The sequence below is a fragment of the Homo sapiens genome, chromosome 2 (assembly GCF_000001405.40).
Source record: "Homo sapiens chromosome 2, GRCh38.p14 Primary Assembly".
In the NCBI taxonomy this organism is placed as follows: domain Eukaryota; kingdom Metazoa; phylum Chordata; class Mammalia; order Primates; family Hominidae; genus Homo; species Homo sapiens.
Genome location: NC_000002.12, coordinates 73,030,296 through 73,056,397, shown reverse-complemented (window position 1 = coordinate 73,056,397; position 26,102 = coordinate 73,030,296). Strand labels below are relative to the sequence as shown.

The following is a 26,102-nucleotide window of genomic DNA, read 5'->3' as shown; positions in this document are numbered from 1 at the left end:
TACTTTTTTTTTTTTGAGACAGAGTCTCGCTCTTGTCCCCCAGGCTGGAGTGTAATGGCACGATCTCAGCTCACTGCAACCTCCGCCTCCCAGGTTCAAGTGATTCTTCTGCCTCAGCCTCCAAATTAGCTGGGATTACAGGCACCTGCCACCACAACAGGCTAATTTGACGGACTTTTTATATGTATTTACAAATGTATGTAGGAATATATGTACATATAAAATGTCAAATATTATTTATTTTTATTTATTTATTTTTTGAGATAAGGTCTTGCTCTGTTGCCCAGGCTGGAGTGCAGTGGCATGTTCTCAGCTCATTGCAGCCTCCACTTCCCGGGTTCAAGTGATTCTCGTGACTCAGCCTCCCGAGTAGCTGGGATTACAGGCATGCACCATCACGCGTGGCTAATTTTTGTATTTTAGCAGAGACTGGATTTCACCATGTTGGCCAGCTTGTCTCAAACTCCTGGCCTCAAGACATTCACTGGCCCGGTGGCCGACGCCTGTAATCCCGGCACTTTGGGAGGCCAAGGCGGGCAGATAACGAGGTCAGGAGATTGAGACCATCCTGGCTAACATGGTGAAACCCGGTCTCTACTGAAAATACAAAAAAATTAGCCAGGCGTGGTAGTGGGTGTCTGTAGTCCCAGCTACTCAGGAAGCTGAGGCAGGAGAATGGCGTGAACTTGGGAGGCGGAGCTTGCAGTGAGGCGAGATCGTGCCATTGTGCTGAGATCGTGCCACTGTGCTCCAGCCTGGGCAACAGAGTGAGACTCTGTCTCAAAAAAAAAAAAAAAAAGAAAAAGAAAAAAAAGAAATCCACCCCTCTCAGCCTACCAGATTGCTGGGATTATAGGCGGGAGTCACCGTGCCCGGCCTAAAATGTCAAATATTTATTAAGTACTATGAACAAGGCAATTTGTAAGCATTTTACATGCATTAACTTATCAGATTAACTCAAAGCAGCCCTAAGATGTGGATGCTATTATAAGTTCCATTTTACAGACAAAGAAAAGGACAGACTGGAAGTTAAGCCTCATGCATATGGTTCTGGCAAGTGATGGAGCCAGGGTATGAACCCGGGGACCCTTGTCTCCAGACCCTTATTCTCACCCCATTTGCATTCCTGTTCAAATAACTTGAGTTTAGGGAACTTGCCCGAGATTACACGGCAGAAGGCCTGAGCTTTGGCCCTGGCCGTCACGTGGGCAGCACTTCACTGCACATCTTCTCTGTGCTGACATTGGCTTACTTGCTTTAAGCCCTGGAGTTGACCAGCTCTGGGAGAGAAAAGCCATGATAGAAAGGAGCACAAGGCTTGCTGGGCACCTGGGCCTAGAACCATCCCCCCTCATGTCCAGGGGAGCAGCCCAGTAACATGAAATGTGGGAATTACCCTGACAGGTGGTTTCCTACTGCATCTCAGAAGGACAAAGGGCATAGGTATTTTAGTTGCTTACCTGGGCTCTGTCTGGATTCTCCTAAGAAGTAATCAAGGAATAATCAATGCAATTACATAAAAAGTTGCAAGAGCACAAAACTAGAGAAACTACTTATCTAGCCCACCTAATGTGTGATTCTAGAAAGTTCCAGAACTGCAAAACTAGACACATTTGCAGTCCTAAAATCCCAACATAAATGCCACCTATTTGATGGAGGAGTCAGCTGAGACTTAAAGGATAGAGGTGCTAATGGTGGACTTCAAGACATATTGAGACATGGTAGAGGGAGACGTGGGAAGCAGGGAGGTATTTCATTGCTTGCCAGATTACCATGAACAGGCAGGGGCTTTGGTGATGGATGAGCAGCTACAGGGTAGCATGCTGCCTGTGCCAGGAGGGTCCCCGCTCCCTTTTCCCAGTCCCTCCTCCTCCCATTCTCGGATCATTTCATTTCACTACTCTCCTCCTTGTACCACAATTTTATTCTTCAACTCTTGCATTTTGAAAGACCCCAACATTCTTGTACATTTTTGGCCCATTTCTCCTATGAGTAAATTGTCTAAATTTCATACTTAAAAAAAACTATTAATTTAAATATCAAGGCAACTTAAATATTTACTGACTAGAAAATAATGAAGGCAACTCCAATTTTAGAGTATTTTTCAAATTTCAATGTTCCTTTCTGTCATCAGAGATTCAGATAGACTTTGTAGAAAGATCTGCACTTCTCCTCCCCACTGTACCCCAGTTGGGGATTGTTTCCAGGACTACCTGCTGGCCTTTTTGAAAGCTTCTGCCAACAGAAGATCTTCTAGGCTCCACAAACTCTGGAAGGGCCATGAATGGGACCTCTGGGCAAGCAAGATAGCGGCCATACTCCTCATTGGCTCTCGTCTAGGCAGGTTATTTAGCAAGGTCATCTCCATCAATGCAATGGGAAATTAGAGGCCTCTGAGTCCCTCCCGATGAGCTGTGGGGCACTGGGAGGGCCAGGCTCCCCCTCAATGCTGGAGTCAGTCCACAGACCATGGCTCATAAATACTGTTTTCCTCCCAGGGCCCTTGGCTGGTGTCCTGGGAGGGAGCACGGGGTGGTTGCTGCTTAGCTGGAGGAAATTTGGATGAGCTCATTTGTCTGTGATGAAGAGAGAACAGTAGAGGTCGTGAGGACTTGAGGAGGTGGCTCTGGAAGCTGGGGGGTCCAGAAGTAGAAAGATCCTAGGCAGCTTGAGCCATCTGGTGACCTGGTTCTGAGGGACATTAGCTGAATCAATGGAGAAACTCCTCTTGAGGGAATTTTGCAGGTACTTCTTTGTAGTTTATAAATGACCTCACTTTAAAAAGATCCCAACCCTTGTATGTGTAATAAGGCAGAGGAAATTTTATTCACTGTAATTTTTCTTAGGAAGAAGGCTGTCTTTGTTCTAAGAATGCCTTGAACAAAGCTTCAGAGGAGGAGGTTGCCCTGCTTGACAGAGGAGAAGAATGGTGCATTTTGATCCTAAATGGAGAAAGGAGAGGGAAGGAAGAGGAGGAAAAAAACAGCGGGAAGGAGAGCATGATACTGAGATGAGCTGAAAGACCAATAAAGAAATGCCACAATGAGGTGTGGCTGGGGGCTCTTTTGAGATCAGTGTTGCTGACTGTTTTTGTGAGAGCTGTGAATTTGCGCTGTTATTCCTTCTACCATAATTCCTGGGAAGTTGTCAGCAAAATATGCCTGGTTTGTGAAATCTCTGCAAGAGATGATTTGGGGGATTTTTTTTTCCTTTTTTTTTTTTTCGAGGCAGAGTCTTACTCTGTTGCCCAGGCTGGAGTGCGGTGGCATCTTGGCTCACTGCAGCCTCTGCCTCCTGGGCTCAAGCAATTCTCGTGCTTCAGCCTCCTGAGTAGCTGGGACTACAAGTGCATGCCACCATGCTCGGATAATTTTTGTATTTTTGTAGAGACGGGGTTTTGCCATGTTGGCCAGGCTGGTCTTGAACTCCTGACCTCAAGTGATCTGCCCGCCTTGGCCTCCCAGAGTGCTGGGATTACAGGCATGAGCCACTGTGTCTGGCCATGTGGGGGAATCTTGAAGGGCTATGAGTCTCCTTGCCAGGGTGCAGTGTGTGCAGAATTATTTTCAATGAAGGAAACTACCAGGAGCTTGCAGAAGCAAAAGGGAGAAATCTTTGGCCTTCTCTGTAGGCCAGGGAATTAGATCTAGATCTCTAAAGACAAGGCTGTACAACATCTGAATTACTCTTAATTATGGACCGAAGATGGAAGGCATTTGCTATCCTGAATTCAGTAATTACTTAAGGAAATGAATGGCTGACAGATTATCATCATGAAGGGCATAGAAAACTAACTGAAATAGTATTAATAACAATTCAATACTAGAACTCGTGTCACAATCTGAAACTATTTGGGGTATATTATAGGATAGAATAAATAATTATACTGATGGGGAGAACCAGCATTTTCACTGTGGGAGATGAGAGATACAAATACAGAGTAGGGGAAAAGACAAAGAACTATGTGATGTTGTATTTGAATTGGAGGTACCAATATGCACTCATCACACACACACACACACACACACACACACACACGCATACACACACACACACACTCTCTCTCTTACATTTTCTAATTTTCTGGCTCTGTTTTCTGAAAGGGCCTAGAACTTTTGACACCACAGTAACTATGAACACATGTAGCACCCAGATCTTGGTTTCTAAATACTGCTACCCACAAAAAGGAACGAGGGCTTCCTGGATAAATGGTGGATTCCAGGTCTGAGGCTGCAAGTGTTGCTACAGAAAGCGAGGAAGTGCTCAAAGAATGATGGAGACAAAGGAACTGGCTTGAAAGGAAATCCACTGGCTGCATTGGGACAATTTGAGCATTAAGAAAAACAGCAATGGATTGTAACACATTAAATTAAAAAAAAAATCCGTGAGTTCATAAGCTATGGTTTGAATGTGTCCACGCCATACATAATGGTGAATGTGATAGTATTAAGAGGTGGGGCCTTTACGAGATGGTTAGGCTGTGACTGGGATTAAAACCTTTATAAAAAAGGCTTCCCACAGCTGCTAGGGTCTCTTGCCTTTCTGCCTTCTTCCCTGTGAGACAACAATATTTCTCCCCTCTGAAGGATGCAGACCTCACCAGACACTGAATGCTGGTTCCTTGATCTTGGACTTCCAGCCTCCAGAACTGTGAGAAATAAATTTCTGTTCTTTGTAAATTACCCGCCTGTGGTATTCTGTTATAGCAGCACAGACGGACTACAACAGAAATTGATACTACAGAAGTGGGGTGTTGCTATAACAAATACCTAAAAATGTGGAAGCAGCTCTGGAGCTTGGTAAAGGGTAGAGGCTGGAATGGTTTTGAAATGAGTGCTGGAAGGCTGGGGGCGGTGGCTCACGCCTGTAATCCCAGCACTTTGGGAGGCCGAGGCAGGTGGATCACAAGGTCAGGAGTTCAAGACCAGCCTGGCCAAGATGGTGAAACCCTGTCTCTACTAAAAATACAAAAATTAGCCAGGCATGCTGATGGGCACCTTTAATCCCAGCTACTCGGGAGGCTGAGGCAGAGAATTGCTTGAACCCGGGAAGCAGAGGTTGCAGTGAGCTGAGATTGCACCACTGCACTCCAGCCTGGGTGACAGAGTAAGACTCCGTCTCAAAAAAAAAAAAAAAAAAAGTGCTGGAAAAAGTCTCATTGCCATGAACAGAGCAATAAAGGCAATTCAGATGAGGGCTCAGAAGAGAAGAGCTGTGGGAAAGCCTCCTTCCTTTTAGAAGTAACTTATGGGATAGTGACAGTGAAGACCCTTCTGATAAGGTATGAAACAGAAATGAGGAACAAGGTATTGGAAATGGGGGAAAGGCCATTCTTATTACAGTGACAAAGAACTTGGCCAAATTATGCCTGTGTCCTAGGACTTCGTGGAAGGCAGGGCTTGAGAGCAATGAACTAGGGTATGTGGCAGAAATCTCTAAGCAGCAAAGCATTCAGGATGCTTCATGGCTTCTCTTAACTGCTTATAGTAAAACGTAAGAAGAGCGAAACAATTCAAAAATAGAATTTATAATGAAAAGGGAAGCAGAGCATACATATTTGGAAAATTCTTAGCCTGGCCATGTAAAGAATAAAAAATCATGTTTAGGAGAAACCAGCAGTGTGGCCAAGTGACCATTTGATAAGGAGATTAGTATGGCTAGAAGGAAGCCAGGTGCTATTCATTAAGACAATGCGAGAATGACCCCTGAAGGCATTTCAGATCTTTGAGGTTGCCACATCCATCACAGACCCAGAGTGCCAAGGCCTTAGGGGCAGAAGTTTCTAAGGGTGGCGTGTAGAGTGTCTGTGGGACTTCAGGGCTCACTGCCCCTTGTCTCTGCCCACTGTATTCTGGCACATTGCTTCTCAGCCACCCCAGCTGTGGCTCAGGCAGACCCAGGTGCAGCTTGGGCCACTGCTCCAGAGGGCACAAGCGTAAGCCTTGGCAGCATCCATGTGGTGCTAACTCTGCAGGGGTGTGTGTGTGTGTGTGTGTGTGTGTGTGCGTGCGCTGTGGCTGCGGCGCTACCTCCACCAAGATTTCAAAGAATGTTGCAGACAGCCTTGGGGCCCAGGAAGAGAGTTGCTGCAGGTGTGGAACCACTGCAGTTTCCACCAGGGGAATGCTTAGTGGCATTGTGGGGATAGGGCTGTCTCTGCAACCCCAGAACAATAGAGCCACCAGCATGCAGCACCAGCCTGGGAAAGCCGCAGGAATGCAACCTCAATGTGTGAGAGCTGAAGCATGGCTGTCTGGCAAAGCCATGGGGGTGGGGCTGTCCAAGGCCTTGGGGGCCTAACTCCTGCCCCAGTGTGTCTGGAAGGCAGGACATGGAATCAAAGATGATTCTCAAGATCGAATGTTGTTTGCCCTGTTGGATTTTAGATTTACTGAGGACCTGGTACTCCTTTTTTTTTTTTTTTCGTATTTCTCCCTTTTGGAAGATAAATATTCGTCTTGTGCCTGTCCCACCATTGTACCTTGTTTGATTTTACAGGCTCACAGCTGGAGGAAAATTTGCCTCAGGATGAATCACACCTTTGGGTCTCATCCATACCTAATTTAGAGGATTCTGGATGAGACTCTGACTTCAGACTTTTGAGTTGCTGCTGGAATGACTGACTTTTGGGGCTACTGAGATGGAATGAATATTTGTGAGAAGGACATAAATTTTGGGGGGCCAGGGTGAGATGCTATGGCTGAAATGTGTCCCATACAAAATTCAGGTGTTGAAACTTAATGGCAAATGTGATAGTATTAAGAGGTGGGATCTTTAAGAGGCAATTAGGCCATGAGGGTCCCTCCCTCATGAATGGAATTAAGGCCCTTGTAAAAGAGGCCTGGCCGGGTATGGTGGCTCACGGCTGTAATCCCAGCACTTTGGGAGGCTAAGGCTCAAGAATCACTTGAGCCCAGGAGTTTGAGACCAGCCTGGGCAACATGGCCAGACCCCAACTCTTAAAAAAATTTTTCAAAAATTAGCTGGGTGTCGTGGCATGCACCTATAGTCCCAGCTACTCGAATCGGTTGAGCCTGGGAGGTCGAGGTTGCAGTGAACTGTGATCACGCCACTGCACTCCAGTCTGGGTGACAGAGCAAGACACTATCTCAAAAAATAAAAGAGGTTTCACACAGGGTTTGGCCCTCTTGCCGTTCTGTTCTGTTGAGTACACAGCCTTCCTTCCCTCAGAAAGATGCCCTCACCAGATACCAAATGCTGGTTCTTGATCTTGGACTTCCAGCTTCCAGAACTGTGAGAAATAAATTTCTGTTCTTTATAAATTATCTAGTCTGTGGCATTCTGTTATAGCAGCACAGTTAGTGTAAGATAACATAGTAATACTAAAAATGTGAATGGGGAAGCTCTTCTTTTTACCTTTGGTAACTCAGTGAAGTAACTGATTCTGTCCAGGATCATTAATAAATACTATTTCCAAAGAGTAAAACGTTTTTGGGAAACTGAATACTCATTCGCTCTCAAAGTATCACCCTGCAGATTACTTAGCAATTACAAAGGAGAAGAAAGGGTACCTTTATAATGGAGAACCTTAAAATGTCTTTCATTCAGAAATCTCACTTCCAGAAATTTATCCAAAGGAATTAAGAGAAGTACAGTGAGATTTATATACAAGGATATTAATTGCAATGTTACTTATAATAGTGGACACCTTTTAGCCAGATGACCAAACTTAGCATCCCTAACAATTGAAAAGAAACTGACGTTGTGTGCTTCCTGATGTGATGTGATACTGGTAGTAGTTCCTAAATACTGGAAGACATATAAAAGTCTAAAGAAAATAAAAACTGCTCATCATCCAACCTGCTAGAAATAATCACCATTAACATTTTGGTCCATGTATGTGTGCAATATTGGGATGACTGGCCGGGCACAGTGGCTCATGCCTATAATCCCAATACTTTGGAAGGCTGAGGCAGGTGGATCACCTGAGGTCAGGAGTTTGAGATCAGCTTGGGCAACATGGTGAAACCTCGTCTCTACTAAAAATACAAAAATTAGCTGGGTGTGGTGGCACATGCCTGTAATCCCAGCTACTCGGGAGGCTGAGGCACAAGAATTTTGAACTCGGGAGGTGGAGGTTGCAGTGAGCCGAGATCACATCACTGCACTCCAGCCTGGGTGACAGAGACTCTGTCTCAAAAACAAACAAAAACTGGGATGACTGATACAATATGTACGTATCTATATCTCTATATAAATATATATAAGGAATCATATGCACATATGCATGATACGTGTATATACATGATACATAGATGTCATACATGGTTATATAGCAATGGATATCCATGGTATGCATGATACCTGAAGTATATACTTTTACCTATGAGTATATGAGCAGTTTTTCATGTCATGAAATGTTTTAAAATGTGTTTAACTGCATAATAATTCATCACATGGTTATTCTATTAATTATTTACTCTTGACCATTTGGGTGGTTTCTTTTTCATAAATAATATTGCAATAAATATCCTCTTACAGAAATCTCACTGTTTTTCCTTTAATTCCGTTGGATAAATTTCTAGAAGAGGAATATCCAGATGAAAGACTTTAGATAAATATTTCACATTTACTGTATTAGTCTGTTCTCATGCTGCTAATAAGGACATACTCAAGACTGGGTAATTATAAAGGAAAGAGGTTTAATGGACTCATAGTTCCACATGGCTGTGGAGGCCTCACAGTCATGGTAGAAGGTGAATGAGGAGCAAAGTCACATCTTACATGGCGGCAGGCAAGAGAGCTAGTGCAGGGGAACTCTGATTTATAAAACCATCAGATCTAATGAGACTTATTCACTACTATGAGAACAGTATGGGGGAAATTGCCCCATGATTCAATTATCTCCACCTGGCCCCGCCCTTGACATGGGGGGATTATTATAATTTAGGGTGAGATTTTGGTAGAGACACAGCCAAACCATATCATTGTCCTGCAAATTATACCAACCTGTACCAAGATTTTATATGTATATACACACACACACATATACATGTATATATACATATATATACATATATACACATATATATGTACATATATATACACATATATATACATACACACACATATATATTTTATATATATATATATATGTGTGTATATATATATATATATATATATATATATATTTTTTTTTTTTTTTTTTTTTTTTTTTACGAGATGGAGTCTCACTCTGTCACCCAGGCTGGAGTGCAGTGGTGCGATCTTGGCTTACTGCAGCCTCCCAGGTTCAAGCAATTCTCTGCCTCAGCCTCCTGAGTAGCTGGGATTACAGGTGCCTGCCACCACGTCCAGCTAATTTTTGTATTTTAAGTAGAGATGGAGTTTCACCATGTTGTCCAGGCTGGTCTTGAACTCCTGACCTCATGATCCACCTGCCTTGGCCTCCCAAAGTGCTGGGATTACAGGTGTGAGCCACCGCACCCGGCCCAAGATTTTATATTTATACTCCCAATAGCAGCAAGTGAGATGTCCATTTAAATGTATTGTAGGAAAAAAAAAAGGAAAAAATAACCAAAAAGAAAAAAATGTATTTTAGACAGCACTGGATAGTGTAACTTCAAAATCTTTGATGGAATTTTTAAATTTAAAACATCCCCATTGTCAGTACCCTTAGATACTTCAAGTTCTTGTCCATCTGCATACATTTTGGCAATTATGACACTGAACATACACTTTTTTTATTCTATTCATTTCCAAGTCTTTATAACTTTAAAAATAGTTTTTGGGGTGCAGTGGCAGTGATCATGGTTCACTGCAGCCTTAGCCTCCCAGGCTCGAGATCCTCCCACCTCACCCTCACAAGTAGCTGGGACTACACCAAGTCTTTATTATTTTTAAAAATCAAGTTTTGTGGCATAAATAACCATCCCATTAGACTTTTTGGTCTAACAGATAGGTTGTTTCCTATCTTTTGCTTTCCTGGACAAAATAGCCTTAGACATATTACTTTTTTTTTTTTTTTTGAGATGGAGTCTCACTCTATTGCCCAGGCTGGAGTGCAGTGGCGTGATCTCGGTTCACTGTGGCCTTCACTTTCCGGGTTCAAGCGACTCTCCTGCCTGAGCCTCCCGAGTAGCTGGGACTACAGGTGTGTGCCACCATGCCCGGCTAAGTTTTGTATTTTCAGTAGAGATGGGGTTTCACCATGTTGGCCAGGGTGGTCTCGAACTCCTGACCTCAAGTAATCTGCCTGCCTCAACTTCCCAAAGTGCTGGGATTACAGGCGTGAGCTGCTGCACCCGGCCAACATATCGCTTTTAGTTTTTGCTAAGTTTACTTTTTAGAGTAAATTCCAAGAGGAGGGTAGCCAGGCTTAAAGTTCTTGGGATAAGTGGATCGGTTTCTTTTCTGAAGGGATAGGCTGCCTGTCATGCTGCTGGAACTGCATCAGTTTACCTCACTTGGCCTCCTAAGGCAACTAGAGGTCAGGGCAGGGAAAGCGACGTGTCCCTGGTTCCCCTTCTTTGGGCATCTCATAGGGTGGGCTTCTGGCTGATGGGAGCCAAGGACCCATCGCAGCACAGACAGGTAGAACCCTGGGGGTTCCAGGACTGCTGGGTGGGAACATGGAGTTGGGGATGGCTGAGGGAAGACAAGAGAAAGGCTTGGGACTTTGCCTGCACATAACCATTACCTTGGGCCTCCGAGACCCACTGCTTGGAGGCGACTCTAGTAATGGTCAAGCTGTGGTAAGGATGCACGGCCCTGCCCTCAGTGGTGCAAGATTGGCCCAGTGAGAACAGTCAGCTACTGAACCATCAAGACATGGTGGAACATAACCTCCCTGCCATCCTGCACGCCCCACTGCCAGTTCATCCCCTCACCCCCACCCCCCGCCACAGTCTTTTAGTTCTATAACCACTGGGGCTCCCAAACTCTCTACTTTGCCTGAAATGGCCCATGTTTCAGCTGTACCTACTTCCTCTAAGTGTGTTCGTTTTTTCTGTGTTACGCTGGACTCAGCTTTGAGAGTAAAAGAGGCTGTTTATTTTTTTACTTGGGGTGCACTGCCTCAGAGGCCATCAGTTCTGGGGGGGCTTTGGGCATTGCTGAGGTTTCTTTGGGAGATGGTTGCTGGCGTGAGTACAGCAGGTTCTTCTGTGTGGATGTCTCAAGGAAATGGCTTGGAACTAGAGTTGAGGTTTCCTGGGATTTCTAGGTGTCACTCACCAACTCTGTGACCTTGGGCAAGGAAGTACCTTTCCCTCTTGGCCCCAGTTTTCTCAGAGAGGGGATGGCCCCCATGTTTCTAGCATGTGTACATGCAGAGGGGTAATCTTATCCATATCTCCTGTGAACAGGGCCTGGTCTCTCCAAGAAGAGATGAGTTTTGCTTCCGATGACTCTTCCTCAGCTTTCCTTTTTGTGCCTCTTTTTCTTCCTTGTCCCTCTGTCCCCATTCCCCTCCATCGGGGTATCCTGCCCTCTTCCCACCCTTTCCCCTCAGGTGGGGCCTTGAGGCAGGACCAGTGGGGCCAGGATTCTCCTCTGTTCAAATTCTGTGCTGCTGGAGCAGACCTCCTGGGTGCAGGCCCCTCCAGAGGGATCTTCTGGAGACCATACCCCTCTCAAATACATGGAGGGACTCTCATGGTGACACTTGCTGGCAGGCTGGCGATGGAGTAGTGTTTGGTAAGCAGCAGCCTGGGCTGTGTCCTCCCACTAACCACAGCCGGGCCCCTCACAGCCTTTGTGTTCAGGGGCTGGTGCCTGTTTGTTTCTGGTTGAAAAGACTTCCTGCGGAGTTCACCCTGCCACCAACCTCCCAGCTTTCACCACCTCTCAAGTACCCGGGCCCTTCTGCTGAGCCTCACGGTCCAGGGGCGTGTGAAGAGTTTAAACAGGGAGACTCTCCTCCCATTTCCCAGGTATCTGTGATATAGGCCCTTTCTCTGAAGTGGGGACACCAGCCACTAGAACAGCCAGGCCTCAGGGCCCTGTCCAGACAGCTGTCCTGGGGCCTTGCCTGTCCTACAGGCCTGGAGCCTCAGCCCCTCGGCCTTTGACAGAGGTTTCGTAAGGTCCAAGGCCAGCCTGTAGCTCTCAGAGGCAGAAAAGCAGGTTCCAGCTTCCTTCAGTCCTGGGCCCTCAGATTTGTCTGCAGGAACCTTGGATCTTGTTCTCCCGCAACCCATGCCCTTTGCCAAGATGAGGGCTCTTTGGAATTTATTCTTTTGGTAGGAGGGCTCCCTTTGATGACTGTGTCAAGTGAGATGGAATCTGGCCAGGTTGTTATAGGAACTCAGGAGAATCCCTGGAGTGGGAAAAATAATGAGAACATGGGGCCATTCACCATTCAGCGTTGGAAAGTAGAGCATTCATTGTCCAGGTCCGGAGGGGCAGGCTTAAGGGTGGGGGCCTCGCTGCATCACTAGGAGGCTTTGGTGGCATTGAGGGGGTGTGTGGTGGGTTGTGCAGAGTGAGGGTCTGACTAAACTTGGTTCAAATACTAAATCACCCACTTATTTGTGTGACCTTAAGCAAGTTGAAACAACACAATCCAATTTTGTAGATAAGCGTATTATGTCTAGAAGGAAAATCATCCTCACTTTTGGAGTTGTTATCTTAGGGGTATGTTTACAGATTTAAGATTACTTTTTGTACTTTTCCATTTTTTGTTCTGATATTTTCTTTAAACAGCATGAATTAACTTGTACAATGGGGAAAAAATAAAAACAACCACAAAGCTATCTCCACTTTGGAAATGAACGTATCCGGGAAGGGGCTCTTTGGAATCTAGGAGCTGCTAGGCCCTTCCATATTTGGAAGGGGAGGGACAGTACTTTTCAGCCTTCAGGCCATTCCAAGTAAGAAAAGTGTTCCTGGCCCCCTGACTGCCTATGGTTCTGTCTCGGGCCAGGCCTGGCTTACACCAGTGCTGGCCACCACGGTGTTTCACATGCCAGTGCTTCACATGCAGGCCTGAGGGGTCGAGGGTGGCCTCTCTGGTTTGCCTGTGTTGGCAGTTATTCCTGCTGCCATAGTACAGGAGGTGGCTGTTCATTTCCCACTCTGGCAGCCAGCTCAGAAAACCCTGTGTTCCCTACTGAGGGCCCTTCCTGAGGCTACATCCTTCTTTTAGACTAAGGGGCTTATGTTGAGGTCTCTGCACTCTCATGCCTAGCCAGTCTCATCTCTCCATCAAAAGGGGAACACAGCAGCTTCGCTGGGTTTCTTCCCCCATGCTGGGCTTCCTTGGTGTCTGGGTCCCTCATCTGGACCTTGACACGAGCTTCCTTCTATCACTGTTGTCTGTTTATTGTTTTTTGCTGCTGTTTGTTTATTTGTTTATTTATTTATTTATTGGAGACAGGCTCACTCTGTCGCCCAGGCTGGAGTGCAGTGGTGCGATCTCAGCTCACTGCAACCTTTGCCCCCCAGGTTCAAATGACCCTCGTGTCTTAGCTTCCTGAGTAGCTGGGACTACAGGCACCCACCACCACACCTGGCTAATTTTTTTGTATTTTTAATAGAGATGGGGTTTTGTCTCAAACTCCTGGCTTCAAGTGATCCACCTGCTTGGCCTCCCAAAGTCCTGGGATTACAGGTGTGGGCCACTGCACCTGGCCTGTTGTTTTTTGAGATAGGGTCTCATTCTGTCACCCATGCTGGAGTGTGGTGGTGCAAACACGGCTCACTGTAGCCTCAACCTCCCAGGCTCAATCAATCCTCCCATCTCAGCCTCCTTAGTAGCTGGGACTACAGGCACTCGGCACCATGCCTGGCTAATTTTTTTTATTTTTTATTTTTTTATTTTTTAAGATGGAGTCTTGCTCTGTCTTGCAGGCTGGAGTGCAGTGGCGTGATCTCAGCTCACTGCAACCTCTACCTCCCAGGTTCAAGCGATTTTCCTGCCTCAGCCTCCTGAGTAGCTGGGATTACAGGTGCGCACCACCATGCCCTGCTAATTTTTGTATTTTTAGTAGAGACGGGGTTTCATCATGTTGGTCAGGCTGGTCTTGAACTCCTGACCGCGGGATCCACCAATCTCGGCCTCCCAAAGTGCTGGGATTACAGGCATGAGCCATCATGTCCAGCCCATAGTTTACTTTTTAATTACTATATAATAGTTATAGTGTGCATATATTGCTGTTTACTTATCCATTCTACAATGAATTATTTGCAGTTTGGGGCTATATAAATGCTGCTGCTATGAACATTCTTATACAAGTCTTTTGGTGGGGACAAAGGCTACCTTCTGTTACTGTTGCTGTCTCTTTAGCTTTTAGACTTAAAAAATCATACGGTTTTATCCTTTTTTTCTCTTTCTCCCCATCAGTTACTCTGGCCATATGTACTTTAGTAGGTTAATCTCTGCCAGTGTTTTTAAAATGTTGAAAATATATAAGTGCTACTTAAATATGTTCTCCTGGCCGGGCACCGTGGCTCACACCTGTAGTCTCAGCACTTTGGGAAGCTGAGGCAGGCAGATCTCGCTTGAGCCCAGGAGTTTGAGACCAGCCTGAGCAACAATGCAAAACCCCATCTCTACAAAAAATAAATTAGCCAGATGCAGTGGCGTGTGTGTATAATCCCAGCTACTTGGGAAGCTGAGGTGGGAGGATCACTTGAGCCTGGGATGTTGAGGCTGCAGTGTGTTGAGATCGTGCCACTGCACTCCAGCCTGGGTGACAAAATAAGACGTTGTCTCAGGAAAAAGAGAAAGGAAAAATCCTCCTTATAAAGGCTTTCTATTTTTTTCTTTTTTAGATGGAGTCTTGCACTGTCCCCCAGGCTCACTGCAACCCCTGCCTCCTGGGTTCAGGTGATTTTCCTGCCTCAGCCTCCTGAGTAGCTGGGATTACAGGCATGCACCACCATGCCCAGCTAATGTTTGTATTTTTAGTAGAGACAGGGTTTCACCATGTTGGTCAGGCTGGTCTCGAACTCCTGACCTCATGATCTTCCCGCCTCAGCCTCCAAAAGTGCTGGGATTACAGGTGTGAGCCACCGCGCCTGGCCTAAAAGCTTTCAACATTACATTAAGATTAAAGTTCCTTGTGACACCCCTTGCCAAGTCTTGGCCCTTTCCTCCTATCCTGAGGTAACCCCAGCCACCAGTTTGGTTGTTCTCCTTCTAGGGCTTTTCTGATACTTTGACATATACAAATATTCACATAGGAAATATTATTTGATATGTGTGTGTTGTTTATTTGGTACAACAAACAGCATCATATTGCTTGGCCATTTGCTTTTTCACTCAACAAAATATCTTGGGGAGATGACCATGGAAGCACATGTAGCTCTACTTCATTTTTTAAACTGCCGAGTAAGAACATTTAGGTGGTATTTCTATATGATTTTGTGTGTGTCCCATGAACTGAGGGCAGGCCCAAAGCCTTGCACTGGCAGTATTTGATACTGATGTAATCCCACAAAAGAAAAATTTGCGGGAGCCCTGGATCTGTGCCCCTCAATGTCTCTTTTCTTTCTTCTGCAGAGACGTCTCAGAGAGGCTGTGCAGCTGCTGGAGGACTATAAGCATGGGACCCTGCGCCCGGGGGTCACCAATGAACAGGTAACTCTGTGGGAGGTGGGAGCATGGCCAGTGGGGAAGGGAAGGAAAGTGAGAAATTCACAAACCCTTCGCTGCAGCCAGAACCACTTCTTTCGTCCAGCATATACTTCTGCTGGTACATACCCCTGTGGACTAAAAGCTCTTTGGAGATGCTCAGATCTCTCCTGTGCTCTAGGTCCAGTGGGAAGCATGGAGGCTGATAAGGCTAGGGTGGCCCAAAGGCCAAAGGCTTGCTGAAGCTGGCCCGCACTGGCTTGCGAGAGCTGATTGTGGGCATCTCTTCCCAATTCCACGATCAGGGATGACACAGTGGGAAATCAGCCATGATGGGAGTATTTATACCATAGAAGTTGGCAAATGCTACAAATCAGGACTTTTTCTCCAGAGAACAGGTTATTAAACGTTTACCAGCATACCACTGTTCAAAAATTCAGGTTAAGGGTGGGAAGGATGGGGGAGGATGTTGAGGATTAGGATTAGGATACTGTTGTTTTATTCTTTTTTAATATCGTGTAGGAACTCAAATTAGAGATACCTGAAATGTTGAAGGTGGTGTTTTGTTTTGGGGAGGGGTAAGGGAAGGTAGTAGTTAATGATTACAGAGACTGATGGTTCATGTGCCAAAGTCTGTCTTTTTGTTCATAAACTTTATTTCAAAAACTTTTTCAAACATTAATTTAAACATTTTCAAAGTCATGTGTGCATAATTCAAGAAGTCAAATAGTACTAAAGTGCTTGTAAGGGGCTGGGCACGGTGGCTCACACCTGTAATCCTAGCACTTTGGGAGGCCGAGGCAGGCAGATTGCCTGAGCTCAGGAGTTCAAGACCAGCCTGGGCAACGTGGTGAAACCGTGTCTTTACTGAAAGACAAAAAATCAGCCGGGCATGGTGGTGGACGCCTGTAATCCCAGCTACTCATGAGGTTGAGGCAGGAGAATCGCTTGAACCTGGGAAATGGAGGTTGCAGTGAGCCGAGACTGCGCCACTGCACTCCAGCCTGGGCAACAAAGCGAAACTCTGTCTCAAAAATTAATAGAAATAAAATAAAATAAAATAAAATAAAATAAAATAAAATAGTGCTTGTAAGGAAAAATAGTATATGTTCCCTATCCCTCCCCAGTTCCCATGCCTGTTCCGCAGGAGCAACTACTTTTTGCTGTTCTGCAGATAGAAATTTATATTCTATCTTTCAGACAAATATGCTTATCTACACTGCTATTTCTCAATTAGTTCTTTTGGGTTATCTATTATGGTAGTTGAGGATTCAGCTCTCTTATCATCCACCCCTCTAAACACACTTCTTTCCGCCATCCATACTCACTCTTGAAATAGTTATCATGGTTTTGGGGCCTATACATATTCAGTCTTCATGTCGTTACAATTATAGAAATAACATTTACTGCATAGTCAGACTGGTTGTATCATGATTATGTCTCTTTTTCAAATTTGTTTTATCTGGAGTTAATAACCACCTCAGATTTTTCATTGGCATACTTTCCTTTGTACCATCTCTCACTCTCACTGTACCCTCCCGCGGCCTTTCAATACAGTCATACACCACATAAAGACATTTTGGTCAATAAGGGATCACATATATGACAGTGGTTCCATAAGATGATAATGGGGGCCAGGCGTGGTGGCTCATGCCTGTAATCCCAGCACTTTGGGAGGCCAAGGCGGGCGGATCACTTGAGGTCAGGAGTTCGAGACCATCCTGGCCAACCTGAAGAAACCCTGTCTCCACTAAAAATACAAAAATTAGCCGGGCATAGTGGTACATGTTTGTAATCCCAGCTACTTGGGAGGCTGAGGAGGGGGGAATCACTTGAACCTAGGAGGTGGAGGTTGCAGTGAGTCGAGATCACGCCACTGCACTCCAGCCTGGGCGACAGAGTGAGACTGTGTCTCAAAAATAGATGATAATGGAACTGAAAAATTCCTGTTGCCTGGAGATGTCTTGATGATCCTGACCCTGTGCAGGCCTAGTCTGTTTGTTTGTGTCTTAGTTTTTAGTTAGTTTTAAGAGTTTAAATAGTTAAAAAAAAGTTGAAAGTTTTAAAATAGAAAACTTACAGAATAAGGATATAAAGAAAAATATTTTGTACAATGTGTTTGTGTTTCAAGCTAAGTATTACAAAAGAGTCAAAAATCTGAAATTTAAAATTTTATAAAGTAAAAAATATACAGTAAGCTAAGGTTCATTTTATTGAAGAAATTTTTTTAAGAGGCAAGGTCTTGCTCTGTCACCCAGGCCTGGAGTGCAGTGGGGCGATGTAGCTCACTATAACCTCAAACTCTCAGGCTTAAGTGTTCCTCCCACCTCAGCCTCCTGAGTAACACACCACCACACCTGGCTAATTTTTTTTTAAAATAAATTTAGCGTGCTTAAATGTATGGTGTTTATAAAGTCTATAGTACTGTACGGTAATGACCTAGGCCTTCACATTCACCCACTACACACTCAGTGACTCACCACAGCAACTGCCAGTCCTGCAAGCTCCATTCATGGTAAGTGCCCTATGCAGGTGACCATTGTTTATCTTTTATGCCATATTTTTACTGAACTGTTTCTGTGCACAAATATACACAAACCGTTTACATACACAAATATCTACCATTGTGTTATAGTTGCCTATATATTCAGTACAGTAACATACTACCCAGGCTTGTAACCAGGGAGCAGTAGGCTCTACCTACGAGGTAGCCTAGGTGTGTTGCAGGCTTGCCCATCTAGGTTTGTGTAAGGATGCTCTATGCTGTTTGCACAATGATGAAATCACCTAATGATGCATTTCTCAGAACATATCCCTGTTGTTAAGTGACGCATGACTGTATTTTCAGTGCTCCTTGCAATCTGAAGATTTCTGTCTTTGAGTTTCTTTTTGTTTTCCTGAAATTTTCCTTTCTGGGGCCTACCTCCGAGTTCCAGGTCTTCCTTTTTCTTGGTATATTTCATCATTTTGGTGGAACACCTCTTCTCGTAGCTTCCTGAAAAAGGGTAAATGAGAAGAAAGTTTTGAGTCTTTTTATGTCTGAAAAATTATAATTCTGCACTCAGCCTTAATTGACAGTTTGGCTGAGGAGAAAATTCTAGGTTGACAATCATTTTCCTTCAGATTTTTGAAGACCATTGCGCTATTTTCTTCTGGGTTCCAATATAGCTGTTGAAAAACCTGATGCCGTTTCATTCCTGATTCTTTGCGGTCTGTTTTCTTTCTTTGGAAATATTTAGGATCTTCTCTTTATCTGTGAAATTTGTTTCTGAAATTCCACAATGCTGTTTCTTTTAAAATTTATCATTTTGGATTCTTCATTACCCCTTTCAATCTGAAGACTCCTGTCTTCAGCTCTGGCAAAATTTTTAATTGCTTTCATCACTTTTTCTCATTCTGGAACTTCTGTTAGTCAAATATTAGCCATCATAGGCTGACACGTAGGTTTTCTCACCTTTTTTCTCTTCTATCCATCTCTATGGGCCAGAAGCGAGGGTAGGGCCTGGGGGATAGAGCAGGTAGGAAGCTGGATGAAGTTCCTGTCTACACCACCAGAAACCAGGCAGTGACAGTGAAAGCACATGATACCATGGGAGAGCCGTGGAAGGGGTGACCCTCCCAGACTGAGGGCATCTGGAAGAGATTTCTCCCCTGAGATATGAGGGCTGACAGGGCTGGTGAAGAGCAGGTGGGGGTGGTCCAGGCAAGGAGGTGCACACTGTGCTGGAGATCGAGGGAGCAAGACCCTACAGAAGGAGGGAATGGGCGAATGTGCTAGACTGGAGCATGGTGATGGGAATAGAGGGCAAATGCATGAGCGGAAGCAGCACCTTGGCCAGATGCCCCTGTGCAGGGCCCTGGGAGAGTGACAGACCCGCAGTGCCTGCTTACATGGGGCCCATCTGAAGGCGTGTGCACTGCGTGCTGAGTCATGGGCAGCCGTCAGCCGGGAGGGCAGGCTGCGATCTCCTCTTCCCTGAGCAATGGGACTTCTCTCTGGCCATGAGCACCTAAGAGCCTGGATGGTGTGACCTGGTACCCCACCCTACTCAGGCCGAAGCAGTCCCCAGCCCTTTTCGTGTTCTTCTGAGACCTGTGAGAGTTGGGTCCTGCCTCTATGGCCTCCTGACCATGTGTTTCCTCCTGGCCCAGGCTCCGCTCTGCCCTTTTCTTGCTGAGGTTGGCCTCTTGGGACCCCTTCCAGCTCCCAGAGTTTGGGGAATGAAGCCACATTTCCTCCTCTTTGCTCCCTTCAGTAGCTTGAAGCTGCCTGTCCTGTTTCCCAGGCCTCCTTTGTTTTCTGTCCTGAAAGCCCCCATGTGCCTCAAGGGAGCTGAGGAGGAGGGGAACTGGGTGGAGGGGCAGCTTGGCACTAACTGTGCTTCCCGATTCTGGCTCATGTTGGTGATGCCTGCAGTGTCCATCTGGTGGCTGGGTAGCACAGTGCTCTAGGTGTGAGCCTGCCACTATGGCCCCCTAGAGGCAGATCCTCCCTCTCCCTCCCTTCCCCCAGCCTCCTGGCTCCCCCAGCACCAGCTCTCACAAATGCTTCCCTCCCTGGGCTTCAGTCAGCCAATCTACACCTTCCTCTGGCCTCTGCAGACACAGGAGCAGAGGGGATAAGTGGTGACATGGCAGCTCAGGGCTTGGGGGGCTTGGCAATCCATAGTTAACAGTCACTGTTCCTGGCCCAGGCTGGCCCTGCTCATCTGAAGCGGCCCGGGTGGTTCTTGTTCTCAGTCTGGACAGTGGCCTCACCTGCACCTGGGCTCTGCGCCTGCTCTCATGCCTTTGCAGGTGTGTGGGCCAGAAGCCTGCAACTGGGTCCTGAGGCCTGCAGGCCTGTCCTGGTGTTGTGGGCAGTGCTGGTTAACTTGTGACACTCTCTTTTTTTACCCAGTTTGTCATCTAACCTGACCTCCAGGTACAACACCTCACCAGTGGGTATGCGCAAATGTATTGATTGTTTGTTTGCTCCTGATGGCCTTGGTTTGGTCTTCTGTTGTGGGTGGCTGCTCTCTCCTCCAGGGACCGTTACCTTGTTTAAAGGTTGCTATACCAGCCAAGCGTGGTGTCTCACACCTGTAATCCCAGCACTTTGGGAGGCCAAGACAGGTGGATCACCTAAAGTCAGGAGTTCGAGACCAGCCTGACCAATATGGTGAAACCCCATCTCTACCAAAAATACAAAAATTAGCCAGGCATGGTGGCATGCACCTGTAGTCCCAGCTACTCAGGAGGCTGAGACAGGAGAATCGCTTGAACCCAGGAGGTGGAGGTTGCAGTGAGCCGAGATCACAGCACTGCACTCCAGCCTGGGTGACAGAGTGAGACTCGGTCTCAAAAAAAAAAAAAAAAAAAAAAAAGATTGCGATACCAATGAATCACTGGTTCTGAGGACAAAATAAAAATGAGTATAATTTAACTTTTGGGTTTAGCAGGTGAAAATTTGAAGAGCTAGTAACCGTAATAAGGACTGTAGCTATCAGTTAAAAAAACAAAACCATGGTATACAAAAATGTAAGCATAGACACAGCCATTAAGTTTCTGAATGTTGACTCTGATCTGTACACTTGTATATGCTGGGGCTTTGCCAGAATGATTTGGTGTGGATGGAGGAGGTGGGTGGGGCTAAATATGGAAGACCCCTCCCCATGGTGAGCCACCGCTCGCTGCATGCTTACGAAGTGGCAGGTATTGCACCATAAGTACTAGCGCTTTCCACATATTATCTCAGCTAATCTTCACATAAACTTGTCAGTAGGTACCTGTATCAACCCAATTTTCCAGTGAGACTCAGAGAGGTTGCATTATTTTCCTAAGGTCACATAGCTAGTATGTGGTGGGGCAGGGATCTGACACTGGGCCTCTTAGATCTAATGGGAGAGACATCTTCTGTAAGTGACAGAGACAGAGAGAAGAGACAAGAAAGAGAAAGCTGGGAAGGAAGTTGGAGGTTACAGGCCAGATTGAGAAAGTCTTTGAAAACCAGGCAGAGATGCTGGATGCATTGTGTGGGGTAAGAGGAAGCTACTGAAAGCTATTGAGCAAGGGAGTAGCACGACAGTGGTATTGTGGTAGGATCAGTCAGTGGCAGTGCCAGAGTGCACTGGGGAGGAATAAGTGCTATTACGGAAATCAGCTCGGAAGCAACTGGAGTGATGGGGAGTGTGGGGAGCAGGTTACTGGGAACCACTGTAGCTCCTGAGTGGCTGGGCTTGTCCATCATTCAACATTCCCCAGAGGTTGGGAACCAGCCAACCTTTCCTAAGTGCCTACCCTGCACCCAGGGTAATGAATGTATGGATTGCTCAGAGCCCCCATGCAGGATGGATTTCTGTCTGCGACCTGCCTAGGAGAAAGAGCTGCTGGGATGCAAGAGATCCTGCAAGTCTTCTCTGGCAGGAAGGCAATGGGGTCAGCTGTGTTTGGGCTTTGCTGAAAATAACAGAGCAAATACCAGAGGCAGGCTTAAAAATACTTGTGCCCCAAGTCTTCTGTGGGCGTCAGCAGGTTTGTCAGATGCCGAAGGGAAGGCTTGGCTGACCCACTAGTCTTACCCTGACTCCTAGCATCAAGCTCTGGGGATCCTGGTCAGCACCCTGCCCCTCTGGGCCAGGCCCAGCATGGCCCTAACTGGTAGCACAGAACAGGCAAGTGATCAGTAGGAGGTGAGTCATTTGTATGATGTGCTAGGTGTCGTACTGAGTGCTGTAGATGCATTTGTGGGCTGGGTCCCTGCAGTGGCCTCCTGGATGATCTGCCTATACTACCTGGGCTCCTCTGTCCATTGCTGATACAGCACACAGAGTGACCTGTGAAATTATACAGGACATTGTTTGTTCCTCTGCTCCAGGGTTTCTCAGACTTGGCACGATTGGCATTTGGAGCCAGATTATTCTTTTTTGCGAGGGCTGTCCAGTGTACTGAGGGTGTTTAGCAACCTGCCTGGCTGTGACCCAGTAGATGCCATTAGCTTCCCCTCCCCAGTCATGACAATCAAAAATGTTTTCTGATGTTGCCAAATGTCCCCTGGGTGCAAAATCCACCTCCTAGTTGAGAACCACTGCTCTAATAGAAACTATAGTGTTCCTCTTTTGCACTTAGAGTAAAAGCCATAGTCCTTAACCTGGCCTGCAAAGCCCCCAGTCCTCTCTGATCTTGTCTCCTACTGCTCTCCCCTATTTGGTCCACTGCAGTCACACTGGTCTCCTTGCTGTCTCTCAAACATACCAGACAGGCCCACTTCTGCCTCAGGGCCTTTGCACTGGCTGTTCTGTCTACCAGAGCAATCTCCCACTAGATAGCTGCATGACTCATTCTCTCCTTCAAGTGTTTCCTCCAATATCACCTCAGTGAGACCCACCCTGACTATCTTACTTATGTCTGTAATCTCCATCTCTGCCACCTGCTCACACTTGCTATCCTCTTGTCCTGGTCTATTTTCCCTAGTTTCCTGAAGCACTTTTCCTTCTAACATATCAGAAAATGTGCTTATTTATTGTTTGTGTTGCTTATCGTTTGTCTGTCTGTGCAACCCTCTAAACTCAACAAAAGCAGAGATTTTGGCCTGTTTTTGTCACTGATGTGTCCTTAGCACCTAGAGCAGTGTTCAGCACATAGTAGATGCTCAATAAATATTTGTTAAATAAGTAAATTTGTTAAATTAATTATTAATTTTCACAATAACCTTGAAAATATTCACATCCTCATATTACAAATGAGGAAGAGGAGGCTCAGAAAGATTAAGCGTATTGCCCTAAATCACATAGCCAGCAAGCGGGAGATCTAGAATTTAAACCCAGGTCTGGATAGAAACAAACTGCGTGTATAGGGAAGTTGCAACTGCTGCTGTGTGCTATGCTGCAGAACTAGGCGAAGAGTCCCTCTTCTTTCGTGAGTCTGTAGAATTGGGGGTACCCTCACCTGACATAGACTTGCAATAGGTACATATTACCTGGGAGTAACCATGGCAACAAAATTAATGGTGAGGTATAATGCGATTGGCCCAACTGATAAATTAGGAAGTTTTTTTTGTTTGTTTTATGGAGGCATTCTTTGCCTTACAGAAGGATCCCCTTCAGGCTCTGTTTAATTACCTTCTGGAGGTTGTTTTAAATAGGCTCTGTCTTTGCTGCCTTGGGAGGTTTGGAGAAGCAGCTTGGAAGGAGGCAGAGGGGAAGGGGAGCGAGCCAGATTGGGGGTGGGGCTGGGCTGTTCCTCCTCCCTCTGGGTGTTGGGGGTGTGCCCCGCTCTGCCCGAGAAGGCCAGTTGGTGAGTGTCCTCTGCCCCTCCCTTGGACTCTACACCGAACTTCAGGTAGGTTCAGATGGCACTTCAGCTGAGATGCTGGCTGTTTTTGAAATTAGCCAACTTCTGGGATCTTCCAGCCACCTCTCACCCGGATTGCTTCTCCACACCTGCTCCATGTTCTTATTTACCAAGTTGAGAAATCAAGCAAGGTTCAAAGTCTCATATCCACACTGATTTGTTGTTGGAGCCAGTAAGTCCCAAGGGATCAAAGCTGCATATTTTTATGCTCAGCAGAGGCACAGAGGAGATGGGCTGAGCCCACACAAGATGAGGTCTTAAGCAGGAATTGTAGTTTAAAGTGGAGATGCTTCAGTGGTCTAGTGAGAAGACGTTGAACTCTTGATATCCTAGGATGTCCCGTCGAACTCTTGACACCCTAGGATGATCCTCCCCCATCACCTGTTTGCAGGACTGGCTTGTGAAACTTCAAACTAGCAACCAGCTCTTGGCTTGTGGGTGGTACATTACCTGCTGCCATTTTTGCATCTGACATTTAACCCCTTAAAGTCAACATTTAATCCAGCAGGTCCTAGGGAAAAGCCTAGACCCAAGGAGTCAGACCTGAGTCCTTGTCCTGTTCTCCCTCTAAGCTGGGCGTGGCCTCATACACCGTAGGACAGGAAGGGGCCCTGGAGAGACTTGCTTCTACCTCCTGTCCCTGCTTCTGCCTAATTTTAAAAATAATACAAGTCCAAGCTGTGAGGTAACTTGCACAGGCAGGCTATGTAAGTTAGTGACTGAGAGAGGGCCAAAGTCCATGATCCTGACTGTTGTCACTGCAGCCTGGTGATGGGATCAGCCCAAACAAGATCAGATCATGACTAGGAATTTTTGTTGAAAATGGAGATGTTCCTCCCAACTCACCCCAAAACCTCTGAGTCTGGTGTGTTGTCAGATGCCTCAAGAAGAGCTTCAAGCACCACTTTAGCTTCCATTCCTTCCTTTCTTCCCTGGAAATCTTTCCCTGATATCACTGGAAGCAGTTTCCAATAACCCCAAATGGGTTATATTAGTTAAAGTGGTACTAGCTGCTGTAACAAAACGATCCCCAAATGTACTAGCTTAAATGAGACAGTTTATTTCTGTCCTGTATAACAGCTCAAGTTCCAGGTGGGCAGCTAGCTCTGCCCCACAGGATTATTCAGGGACCCAGGCTCCTTCCATCATGTTTCTCTACCATCTCTTTGGGCGTCGTGCTATCTTCATGGCTGAGGCTGGGCTGCAGCCACATCCTTGCACTGGCTCACAGCAAGGGGACAGAAAGCATGGAGGGGGAGCCACTGGCCTGGAAAAGGCACATCACTTCCCCTCAGATGCCACTGTGGGTCTCAGCTACATGGACAAGCCTCATTGCAGAGGAGGCTGGGAAATGTGTAGCAGGCCAGCCACCTGCCAGCTTCTGTTCTATGACTATGGACAACACAATAGGACATGGATTTTATTGGACAGTTTGTGGTCTGTGCCATAAGGGTCAATAAAGGGCTTGGAATTTGTGCATCTTCTATTATCTTTTTCTAGTGGTTACCTTTAATTTTTAAACAAATATTTTTGAGGAGGTAATATATGAACAAGATACAGAATTCTAAAGGTATAAAAAGAATAGGAATTTTTAAAAAACTCTCCCTTTTTCTCTCCCCCAGTTGCCCACTTTCCCTCCCTAATTGTTGGTTCCTCTGTATTATGCCAGATATATCTGTATAATTTATCCTTTTTCTTTAAATTCTCACAATATAGTAACTCCAGTGAAATTCACCAGAACATGATTTGTAATAGCAGAAAGATAAGACAGTCACAAAAGAATAAATACTATGTGATTCCACTTGTATGAGATACCTAGTGTAGTGAATGTCGTGGAGACAGAAAGCAGACGCGGTTTCCAGGAGCTGGAGAAGGGAGGAATGGGGAGGTCACATTTAATGGGTAGAGAGTTTCAGGTTGGGAAGCTGGCAGTGTTTTGGAGATGGATGATGGCGATGGCTGCCCACGATTTGAATGTACTTAATGCCAAATGTCTATCAATAGGAGACATTTTATAAAATATTCAGGCTGGGCACGGTGGCTCATGCCTGTAATCCCAGCCCTTTGGGTAGGAGGATTGCTTGAGGCCAGGAGTTCATGACCAGCCTGGTCAACATAGCGAGATCCCGTTTCTACAACAACAACAACAAATATATGTGTATATATATACATATATATTTTTCATTCATTCAAGGGTTTTGGTCGGAAGAATAAGACTGCTTTCTGTGCACTG

The 26,102-nt window shown here is 45.9% G+C and overlaps 1 protein-coding gene and 1 long non-coding RNA gene across 22 annotated transcripts in view, besides 4 other annotated features; both read left to right on the top strand.

The window, feature by feature from the left end:
- Positions 1 to 26,102, top strand: part of SFXN5 (sideroflexin 5) — a 129,677-nt gene that overhangs the window by 15,315 nt on the left and 88,260 nt on the right. For 15 of the 21 annotated variants that reach the window (NR_138476.2, NM_001371739.1, NM_001371743.1 and 12 more), the window contains one exon: positions 15,467 to 15,544. Coding sequence is in view for 14 of the 21 variants with exons in the window: in NM_001371739.1 (NP_001358668.1) it covers positions 15,467 to 15,544 (78 nt within the window). In the remaining 7 variants the exon portion in view is untranslated. Of the gene's footprint in view, positions 1 to 14,736; positions 14,792 to 15,466; positions 15,545 to 26,102 lie in introns of all 21 variants that reach the window. The other 6 variants (NM_001371737.1, NM_001330403.2, NM_001330411.2 and 3 more) reach the window with 2 other exon arrangements.
- Positions 42 to 542: an enhancer, noted in NCBI's record as "H3K4me1 hESC enhancer chr2:73282985-73283485 (GRCh37/hg19 assembly coordinates)". NCBI's record gives its function as "activates a minimal SCP1, AML or CMV promoter by ChIP-STARR-seq in naive H9 embryonic stem cells {active_cell/tissue: H9 hESC(naive)}" and the evidence as "EXISTENCE:reporter gene assay evidence [ECO:0000049][PMID:30033119]".
- Positions 543 to 1,043: an enhancer, noted in NCBI's record as "H3K4me1 hESC enhancer chr2:73282484-73282984 (GRCh37/hg19 assembly coordinates)". NCBI's record gives its function as "activates a minimal SCP1, AML or CMV promoter by ChIP-STARR-seq in primed H9 embryonic stem cells {active_cell/tissue: H9 hESC(primed)}" and the evidence as "EXISTENCE:reporter gene assay evidence [ECO:0000049][PMID:30033119]".
- On the top strand, positions 870 to 3,069 carry LOC105374800 (uncharacterized). Its single transcript, XR_940239.2, has 2 exons — positions 870 to 2,745; positions 2,847 to 3,069. It is a non-coding gene; the product is annotated as an uncharacterized LOC105374800 (long non-coding RNA).
- Positions 11,884 to 12,178: an enhancer, noted in NCBI's record as "tiled region #10332; HepG2 Activating DNase matched - State 5:Enh". NCBI's record gives its function as "activates a minimal TATA promoter and a strong SV40 promoter by Sharpr-MPRA in HepG2 cells {active_cell/tissue: HepG2}" and the evidence as "EXISTENCE:reporter gene assay evidence [ECO:0000049][PMID:27701403]".
- Positions 18,889 to 19,774: an enhancer, noted in NCBI's record as "H3K27ac-H3K4me1 hESC enhancer chr2:73263753-73264638 (GRCh37/hg19 assembly coordinates)". NCBI's record gives its function as "activates a minimal SCP1, AML or CMV promoter by ChIP-STARR-seq in naive H9 embryonic stem cells {active_cell/tissue: H9 hESC(naive)}" and the evidence as "EXISTENCE:reporter gene assay evidence [ECO:0000049][PMID:30033119]".